Source organism: Homo sapiens, chromosome 5 (assembly GCF_000001405.40).
Source record: "Homo sapiens chromosome 5, GRCh38.p14 Primary Assembly".
Taxonomy (NCBI): Eukaryota; Metazoa; Chordata; class Mammalia; order Primates; family Hominidae; genus Homo; species Homo sapiens.
This window is the reverse complement of record NC_000005.10, coordinates 127,393,580-127,404,597: the sequence shown is the minus strand read 5'-3', so window position 1 is coordinate 127,404,597 and position 11,018 is coordinate 127,393,580. Positions and strand designations below refer to the sequence as shown.

Below are 11,018 nucleotides of genomic sequence, written 5' to 3'. Positions count from 1 at the left end.
GTCTTCCAGGACATGACAGATTCAAGAGCATTAAAAGAAGGATGCACACATCATGTTAAAAATTTTCTGTAGAGCAAAGAATACAATCAACAAAGTGAAGAGCCAGCCCACAGAATGAGATAAAGTATTTCCAAACTATCCATCTGACAAGGGGTTATAGGTTGGTGTAAAAGTAATTGCGGTCTTCACCGTTACTTTCAATGGTAAAAACCGCAATTACTTTTGCACCAACCTAATGACCAGCATATATAAGGAGCTCAAACAATTCTATAGGAAAAAGTCTAATATTCCAATCAAAAATAGGCAAAAGATTTGAATAGACATTTCTTGAAAGAAGACATACAAATGGCAAACAGGCATATGAAAAGGTGCTCAACACAATTGATCATCAGAGAAATGCAAATCAAAACTACAATGATTTGCATTTATATATGCAATGAGATATAATCTCAAGCCAGTTAAAAATGGCTTATATCCAAAAGACAGGCAACAGCAAATGCTGGTGAGGATGCAGAGAAAACGGAACCCTTGTACACTGTGAGTGGGAATGTAAATTAGTACAACCACTATGGAGAACAGTTTGGAGGTTCCTCAAAAAACTAAAAATTGAGCTACCTTATGATCCAGCAATCCCACTGCTGGGTATATACCCAAAGAAAGTAAATCAGTATATGGAAGTGATATCTGCACTCCTATGTTTGTTGCAGCACTGTTTACAATAGCTAAGATTTGGAAGCAACCTACGTGTCTATCAACAGACGAAAGGATAAAGAAAATGTGGTACATATACACAATGGAGTACTATTCAGCCATAAAAAGAATGAGATCCAGTAATTTGCAACAACATGGATAGAACTGGAGATCATTATGTTAAATGAAATAAGCTAGGCACAGAAAGACAAACATCACATGTTCTCACTTATTTGTGGGATCTAAAAATCAAAACAATTGAACTCATGGACACAGAGAGTAGAAGAATGGTTACCAGAGGCTGGGAAGGATAGTGGGAGGGTGTGGAGGAAATGGGGATGGTTAATGGGTACAAAAAAAATTAGAAAGAATGACTAAGACCTACTATTTGATAGCATATAGGGTGACTATGGTCAATAGTAACTTCATTGTACTTTCTGAAATAATTTGAAGAGTGTAATTGAATTGCTTGTAACTCAAAGGATAAATACTTGAGGGGATGGATACCCCATTCCGCATAATGTGCTTAGTTCACATTGCAAGCCTGTATCAAAACATCTCATGTACCCCATAAATATATACAACTACTATGTGCCCACAAAAAAAATAAAAATAAAAAAATTAAAGAAAAAGAAGTAGGGTGTGCAAAGCGCTCTGAGATAACAGTTTACCATTAAATACAGAGGATGATAAACAGCGGCAGTAAGACCCGCATGAGCACAGCCATTTTTTCTGTTTCGTGTGGGACCAGAGGGCCCTATAAGTTCCAGCAGATCTGACTCTATCGCCACCACACAATATAATGATCAATATTCTTAACAGAATACTGAATCATAAGAAAGTAACTTTATACTTTTGAAAGGTACCTAAGTACACATCCCATTTAAAAATAAATCTATCACCAAGTACTTACAATGTAAGTGGCAGTACTAAACACTCAACTCTCTAGAATGACATTTTCATCATGGGTTCTGAATAGCTGATATTTTATGGTCTTTTTTTTAGTGCTTTTTCTGTTATCTTCAATTTACCATTGCTATTTATAATTCAGTTTCTATACACTGAATTAAGATAGAATCTGTCAAACACATTGAGGCTGTATAGCTACTTCTGAAATATTATGGAAGAGTCATGGACACATGGTATTGAAGATGCTCCCCGGACCCTACAAACTTTCCTTTCACATCATTATAAACAGTCAGAGAAATACAAGGGCATCCCTTACCGTTCCCCTGTGTATCCTGGACTGCAATGACATTGGCCTGTGGCAGCATCACACGTCCCTCCATTATGGCACTGGCATTCTTGGGAACAGTTCTTTCCAAAGCGACCCTCGGGGCAAGGCTGACCACACACTGTGCCCTGCATTCAAAGAGACTTGGAAAATTAGATGGGCCTCCAGCCAGGGAAAGACAACTGATGGATGAAGAAGAAAAGAGAGGAAATAGAAAGGAGGGATGGGGAACAGGGCTGCAAGAAAATTAGATTAGAGAATTTTAGAGCACATAAACTGTTCATCATCTTTAAAATATTAGAAACATTAAATTGACTTAATTACTCAGTAAGCCCAAATCTCAAGATACATTCAAAGACGGCTGAATAGTAATGTTAAGCAAAATCCATATTAAAAACTGAAGTTTAAAACAAAGTTACATCAAATTATTATGGCAACCTAAGGAATGTATAAATCCTCATAAGTGTTCTTCCTTGTGTCTTACATGCACAATAAGTCAACAATACTTATTGAGCATCCGTTACATAAATGGCAACATCTGCCGCACATGGAATATCCAAATGCTTTACCATGTGTTCTAGAGAAAATACATGTTTTATCATTGGCTTTATTTCTTAAAATGTAGCATAACACAAGATTGAAATTTTGTGTACCTGAATTAACAATCACATTGCCGAAGACAGACTTCTACAGGAACGAACCTAGACATTTATTTCAGAAGAAAAACATTTTATTTTCAGCAGATTCAACAAGCATTGCTGAGCCAAGATCAATAGGAAAACTTATTTCCTGGGGAGAAAAACCAAGAGAGTAACGTGGATATTTCTCCTCACCCTAGAGGCTGTCCATCTTGTCAAGCACAGTCATTATATTTACTCCAATCTTGCGTGGATAGGAATAAGATACTGTACCAATAAGTCAATGAAATACTCTTGTTTTCTTCTTCACTTGGCTGTATCACTTGGGCTCATAGCTTCTCATCTATTTATTGGAGTTATAATTAGACAAACAACATATCCCAAATAACAGGGATTTTTCTAATGTTTTTAACTATTGGAAGCTGTTGCTCTGTCCTCCCTCTCTCTAAAAAAAGGCAGACTGTGGGCACTCTGAAATTGGAGGCTAGTGAACACCAGATGGTTTCCTAAATGTTTATTCTGGACAGCATAAGAAAATACACTTCCTCTAACTCCTGGCTACCCACAAAGGCAGTTGGTGTGCTAATTAAGTCTCCTCTGGTGGTTTCTAGCTATCTACAAACAGGGAAATTTCTTCCACAGACTCTTGGAATGGAAAAGGCCTTTGAGAGATGATTCGAATCAGCACTTAACTGAGAATCATCTATGTGCCTGTGTTGAGCTAAGCACTGAGAATCAAAGATAAGGTAACAACCCTCAATTAGCTCACAATGTGGGGAGGGGAATGGATGTAAAAATCGCTCTAGTCTCTCCATTCTAGCCTGACATGGTATACTTAATGTGAGGTAAAAGCATGACTGTAGGAATAACATACTGAAGGTCAGTCTGTGGTAAGAAGGGGTGAAAATTCTCACTCTCCCAGGGCCTGACTTAACTACCCACAATGGTCCCACATAAGCTTCAGAAATGCGCTGAAATATTTTCGTGCATAAAGATTAACATTCACAAGCAGCTTTAAAGAGGACATGATTTCTCTTCGTTTCAATATGAAGGTATGTGTGTCTATAGGAATATATATTCATCTTTGAAAAGCACCTAGGATGACAGCACAAATAACATGTTGTAAAGAAGAAGTATAAATTGAAAGCTCAGCTACACAGGAGAAAAAAACAAACTGAAGCATTTTTGAAGCAGAAGTAAGGTAAGGGGCCTGGGACACAGATAAAGAGGTGAGAGGAGGCTCCCTTAGGCTGCTAGGGAGGGGTCCATCTGTCCACGTGCTGGGACTCATAACCCAAGCCTGTGGTTACCATTAACCCACATCCTGACCATCCCAACTGAGAAGAGCTTCAGCCTCAAGGCAAGGCAACTCCACAGACAATATCTACACAGAAGTCCTAGGAGTAAAAGGCCTGAAGATCCTTATCCAAAGAGCATGGAGTTCTCAACACTCTGCTGCTCCAGCAAAATACTTTCATTGCAAAAGACCAACACTGGCAAAAGGCTGAGTATAGGAAATGAAAGAACAGGAGGAGTCAGAAATAACCCAGCTTCTTTACCTCAGACAACTAAGAGAGAAGTGTTAGTTTTAACCAAGACAAAAAAGGTAGAGAAGGAGTAGCCTTACTAAAGGCTTGGGTGTACAAGTTTGGATTTATTAAATTTATTATCATTGACTCTGCCAGGCCTACTCAAACCTGCTCAGTACTCCTTAAACAGCTTCTTTTTCACCTTGTCTTCATCCTCAGGCACTCAAAGTTCTCCTCTCTCTCTAACTCCATTGCCTCATGCTGTTTCTCCATGCTTTGGCTCCAGAATGAACTTTGTCTGGGCTACTCACCATTTCTAACCCTCTCAGATCTGATTTTTATTGTATACTTGTCCCAGTGGCCTTGACATCTTAAACTGTTCTTACTTCCCAAGACCCTCATGGAAAAGTGGACTCCAGGTCTCCTTTGTTCCATAGCCACAAGAAAAGGCAATACCAGACCAATTCTACTACCAGGTCTGGCTGTGGAGACTCTAGCTTGGGCATTGCCCAAAGAGACGGTGGCTTTGTGTCTATAGGTTATCAAGGTTGGGGTGACAAATATAAATCTAAGCTCAAGGCAGGTAAGATCAAAATCTGGAAAAACCATCAAGTACTTCTTAAAGCTATGGGTCTGGATGAGATTGCCAGAGTGGATTTATGGTGAGAAAAGAGAAGAACAAGACTTAAACCTACAAAATCCTGTAATGAAGAAGTATGCAGAAGAAGGGAGATTAGAAAAAGGATCTTTAGTATGAAAGGTAAGAGACGGGATGATTAGAAAAATAGAAGGCAAAGGGATTAAGGAAGGGAGGTTGGTACTCAACAGAGTGAAAAGCTTTGGAGAAATGAAGCTGAATGAGAACAGAAGGGTTTTGGTAATTAAGTCCCTTGTAACCTCTGAAAGAACAGCTTTAGCACTGCTCATGGAAATAGAAGGTGATAAAAAAGTCAATTGCTCTGTTAAATAGTTTGTTAATGAAGGAAACAGATATTGGTTGCTCACTCATCTGCCTTCAAGCAGACACAGGCACAAACCAACTCAGAGAGATGACATCAATATTATTATATTTCCTGATTTCAGATGTCTAATTTGAAGCTAATTGTCACTGTGTATTCTACATAACTCTAAGCATGTGAAATTGCTACATGAAGAAAGGGTATTCTCGTCAAAATTTGGAAAACATGTTGAATAGCTTCCTCTTGGATTATCACACTCAAGGCTCTGAGAAGTCCTGCAATACTTGGTAAATGTGGTTTACCTCAATGTATCCCCAGATTTCTATGATTTTTTTTCAGGTGACACTTGCACTGTTAAGAATAATGTTCCCAAAGAACAACAGCAACTCATGGAACAAAATTATGAAAATGATTGTTAAATAAATCCAGTGTTTATCAGCACTGACTGTCATGTGAGACTAGATATTTGTCTCTCTTTTTTTTATCCTTAAGGGAAATGCAGGACAGATGGCCACTACCCTTTACATGACAACCTTCAATGCACTTCAAGTCTAGGACTAAATCACCTTCTTCTGTCTCCTCAGAACTGAAGAGTTTCAGATTTAAAATGGCTTGAGTCTTTCCAATTTTGGAATCTTCAACCATCATGGTAACTTTCCTTTGTGCTAAAGTCTCCTGCATGTGTATGCACTGAGTATCCTGGAATGGGTGACTTTGGGGCAGGGGCAGAGGAGGTGGGAAGGAAGCTTACCATCCAGCCAGAAGGGCAAGAGCATTCTCCAGTGACGTGATGACACACTCCTCCATTTTGACAAGGGCATCTCTGCTCACACTGTGGACCATGTTTACCAGGAGGACAAAGATCCTCACAGCTGAGGGATTAACATGTGACAAAGGACACTGTTATTTCCCAGACACATGACCCTCGGGTTCACTGTACCCAGGGTCCCCAAAATAGACAAGCTTTCTGTGTTCAATAATTGTTCATTTAATTAATTAACATCAAGAACATTAATCATATTGCCTGGAAGTGTCTTTGAGGAGTCACCCAGTCCTTCCCTTTGTTTTGGGGTACTTTCTAATAAAGCCATTTCGGTTTGAAGAGAAGCTATCCTATCTGAGAACACTGAGGAAGAAAACTGGCCAAACACTCATTGATGACAGGAACTTCTCATGTAACACTTATAAAGCGCTTGTGCTCCAGTTTAAGTCTACTTTTGTTTATATGTTTGTTCTGTTCCCAAAGAAAATTGAGATGTTGCACATCACACCCTTTGTGCACATATTCATCATCCTTTTTTTTTTAATTTTTAAAATTTTACTTTAAGTTCCAGGATACATGTGCAGAATATGCAGGTTTGTTACATAGGTGTACATGTGCCATGGCGGTTTGCTGCACCTATCAACCTGTCATCTAGGTTTTAAGCCCCGCATGCATTAGGTATTTGTCCTAATGCTCTCCCTCCCCTTTCCCCCCACCCCCAGACAGACCCCAGTGTGTGATGCTCCCCTCCCTGTGTCCATGTGTTCTCATTGTTCAACTCCCACTTATGAGTGAGAACATGCGGTGTTTGGTTTTCTGTTCCTGTGTTAGTTTGCTGAGAATGATGGCTTCCAGTTTCATCCATGTCCCTGCAAAGGACATGAACTCCTTCTCATCATCCATTTTTGGTGTTCTCTCCTACTGACTGACAAGTTTCCCTTCCCTCACCCACCCACGTGTCGCATGGCCCTTCTTCTTTAAGCCTTTGTCTTTCCTGCTCTCCTGGGAAATTGCTCCAAGTTTCCCACAGCCCAGTTCAATTGTGGTCTTGATGAAAACCCATAAAAGCAATATTAACAATTAAACAGTTTGAGATAATCATCAATTCTGAAAATCAGGGCTTTCTAGGCTAATGCAATTTTTTTCTTTAGCTCCACTCTACAGGCGTTTAACACTGTTGGCAGGAAGTGTTTACCTAATCAGCCACATTTTGTTTTTTCAAGTTTTAGTTCTTTGATTTATAAATGTAATTTTCTCAGTAAGGGAAGAGGATTTTTCTATCTCTTACTTTTTTTTAGCAACTTCTGCCTCTTAATTCTGTTGGTGAATAGAAGTGAACTGAAGAATGCCCTTCCAACAAAATAAAGACAGTGGAGGTTAAGTAGTTGCTTGAATGTTCCTCAGAAAGAATTAAACTATGTGTGTGCACAAAATCTACATAGATGTAATACATATATCTTCACATTCACAAAGCAATATGTATCCATGAGCATTAAATAATGTATGTATCCCTAAGAGTTAATCTTTTATTATGGATTATTTTTAACACCTTCCTCCTTTTCTCTTCTAATGCACTGAACCCACCCAGCTTTCCCCAGCTAATTAATTGCCACAAAGAGCAAAAAGACATGGACCATTAACAACCAGCAGTATAAATGAACATATTCTCGGGAGATCCAAACAGAATCCCAAATATGCCCCAACAACCCCCAAATAGTGCCATTCAACACAACATCCTGACTGACCCTCTCTCTCTTTGCCTGCTAGAAGGAAAGCATGGAAGCTGACCCTTAGATTCAGGCTGGGATCTGATGTGCAAGGGCCAAACAGCAGCAGCACCTAGTGGCCATCACTGCTGACCTCTATAACTGTGCCTGCAGCCTAGACCCATCAGTAACTCTTCAGGCAGCAATGCAAACTGAGGCACAAGAAATATGATGGCAGCAGCAGCATGAATGGAGAGGGTGGGTGGGCTCTGCTCTGCTGCTGGGCAGCATGTGACTTACAAGGCTCCGGTGTATCCTGGTGGGCAGCGGCATTCCCCCGTGACGTGGTCGCAGGTGGCTCCATTCTGGCACTGGCATCTCTGATGACAGTCGTTACCATAGGTGCCCTGCTCACAGCGGTCCTCGCAGCGCCAGCCCCGGAAGCCCGCAGCACAGTGGCAAGCCCCGGTGATGGGGTTGCACAGAGCCCCATTTTTGCACTGGCACCGGCTGGTGCAGTGGGGACCCCAGTGATCACCATCGCAGGCTGAGATTGAGGAGAGAAACAGTGGATATCAGTGGGTAAGGGAGAACCAGATTTCTTCGCCTCTCGGGGAGAATGGCTTGGTGACCTCTCATGGCCATTCATTAGCTGGACATCAGGGCCCTGGCCCCAACCCATGGCAATGCTTCACAAACTGGTGCTCAGCACCAACTGGGCCACCTCCTGTCACTCCATTGCTTAATTATCACTTCATTGACAATCATGTCAATAAATAAATAAAAAGTCTCCATGCCTTTACTCAGACTGTGTTCTGCATCCAGAGTGTGGAGTTTGATGTGGCTAGAGAAGTGGGCTAGGGGAAGAGCTCAGGGGTTCTGCAAGGAGAGCAGCCTGGCTAGGCAGACGGGAATGATCAGCTCATGCAGGGACTTTTTAGCATATTAAGGGGTTTGGATTGCATCTTGTGAACAAGGGATTGGTAGTGAAAGATTTTAAGAAGGGAGAGCACAGATTTGCCTCCTCCTACGTGTGTGGAAGGAGCTGACGATGAGAGGCAGAGAGATGGAGCAGGAAAAATGGCAACAGTCCAGATGACCATCACAGGCAGTAACCATGAAAAGGGAGAGGGGACACAGAGTCAGAAGTACTGGGGAGTGGACTGACCCTGCTACAGGTCTGGGCCAGAGTCCTGAGTCCTCTAAGAAGTAAACTACTGATCTGCTTTTAAGATATCAGTCAACGGTGGCTCACGCCTGTAATCCCAGCACTTTGGGAGGCCGAGACGGGAGGATCACGAGGTCAGGAAATCAAGACCATCCTGGCTAACACGGTGAAACCCCATCTCTACTAAAAATACAAAAAATTAGCAGGGCATGGTGGCGGGCGCCTGTAGTCCCAGCTACTCGGGAGGCTGAGGCAGGAGAATGGCGTGAACCCGGGAGGCGGAGCTGGCAGTGAGCTAAGACTGCGCCACTGCACTCCAGCCTGGGGGACAGAGCAAGACTCCGTCTCAAAAAAAAAAAAAAAAAAAAAAAAAAGATATCAGTCAAAACATCTGTGTTTGGAAGGTAATCTGAATTACTGACCAAAAAAAAGGGCAGAAAAAATGGACAAATATGCTTAAATATATTGACATATTTAAAAAATAAGACAAGCCTGAAGCCGAAGAATCCAAATTAAATGAAAAGATAATAGGCAAACGAAACCAGGTAAAAGACAAAGGAAGAAAATGGCATTTGAGAGATATATTTAAAGTGCAGTTCCAAAGAAAAGAAAGAGCGGCTGCAATACAAAAGTCAGTGAGTAGAAAAGGGGAGCAGGGAAGGAAAAAAACTTCAATTCCAAACATTCTAAAAAATTAAAGAGGGTGATGATAAACAAAATCTACTCTTAGTATGTATTGCTGAGCCAGCGGTATATTTATTAGATGCTATAAAAATCACTTGAAGAAGAAGCACCCTGCCTAGAGCTCAAAATAAACTGCTTTTACAATTAAAAAAAAGTTTCATTTCATAAAAATTTTGTAACTTCAACAGATCTGGAATAAATTGTTCAAAAGAAGAAAACTCTAGGTACACAGCAAACAACTCATCAGAAGTACTGAATTCGTCTTCCAATATTAGACTCTACCTTGGATTTCATAATATCAAAAGGTTTAAATGAATAATTCTGTTTTTAATCAGTATGACTTTGGTCTCATTAGTATTTTAATAAACACACTTTAATACAATTAAAAACAATGAGAGAGAATTATTGAACCTAAAGCAGATCAAGAAAGCAATTACCTAAGAACTCACAATCTTCTTTCACAAAATAAGATTAGGTGGTAGTTTCAAAATGAGACTGAAGCCTAATTGTTATTCATATGAGTTGTTTCTTTTATTGCCTATGGATATGGACAATGAGTCTTTTTTCCACTGTAATTCTTTTAATCTAGGATCTCAAAAGAAAAAAATCTTTAAGAAAATTACATGATATGTCCCTTTTGATCTCAGCTACCCCAGGTAGAGAAGACTCCATCCTGTTTTGAAGGGACTCCAAAACAAATTACACAGGCCTTTGTAACTTGTTACTTGATTCATCAATCCTCAAGAGTAAGAAAAATCATTCCGTATGAGCTAAATCCATTATCTTATCATTGAATCCTTTTTTTCTCCTGACTTTTTCACAATATAGTAAACCAGTTCACCACTCTCCTCTGTATTAAAAATGACCTTATTCCCAAATGTGAATGCAGCTTGGCCTGCTCTTCTCTAGATACTACAACTCCAATACTTTTCCATACTTTCAAAAAGTTTATTCAATTTCATTTATCCTTTTACTGAATGCTCTCCAAAGTTTCCATGTCCCTCTTAACTTCTAGGAACCTCAGATATTGAATTAAATATCTGTCAACTCCTTATGTTCAGTAGAGAATTAGTTGACCAACAAAAAAGAAATTTTACCTAATAAAAATTACTTTGATAAAAACAACAAGATCATGTCAAAACACTTTTAAAAATCACGGTGGGTTATTACAGAATTTTCCCCCATGTGACACTGTGGTCAGGGTGGCCCCAAGCACATACACTTTACAGAACATGTTTTATATAACAAGAGAGAGGTAGGGAGAAGTAGAGGAACTGAGGGGACAGAACTGATTTTTCCTCTTCTTCACAACCCTGTTCTACACCTCATTCAACAACTTATCTCCCAGTGGGGCAGTCAGGCAGACACCAGCTCTGTTTTCTTAGGATTAGAACAAAAAAAAAAGAAAAAAAAAAACTTTGAAGATATCTTATCATAATACAAGTGAGTTTATAGCAGAAACTGATAACTATCAGCATAGAAAAATGGGTTTCAGGCTTTTCAAGAAATATTATCATGCTGACATGGTTAATTTCCTGGCTATGTCCAAGCATGATGACATGTTTTCAAGTGATAGCTTCCCCACTTCGGGCTATATTTTCCTAAAATGCCACTAATACATGGACCTCACAATGTGAATACCATACA

General features: G+C 40.0%; 1 protein-coding gene across 6 annotated transcripts in view; it reads right to left on the bottom strand.

Annotated features, from left to right (window-relative positions):
• The window catches only part of MEGF10 (multiple EGF like domains 10), a 231,923-nt gene that overhangs the window by 56,625 nt on the left and 164,280 nt on the right, over positions 1 to 11,018 (bottom strand). For all 6 annotated transcript variants that reach the window (XM_017009987.2, XM_011543694.1, NM_032446.3 and 3 more), the window contains 3 exons: positions 7,820 to 8,066; positions 5,802 to 5,922; positions 1,916 to 2,052 (listed from right to left, as the gene is read on the bottom strand). In XM_017009987.2, coding sequence (XP_016865476.1) covers positions 1,916 to 2,052; positions 5,802 to 5,922; positions 7,820 to 8,066 — 505 coding nt within the window. The remainder of the gene's footprint in view (positions 1 to 1,915; positions 2,053 to 5,801; positions 5,923 to 7,819; positions 8,067 to 11,018) is intronic.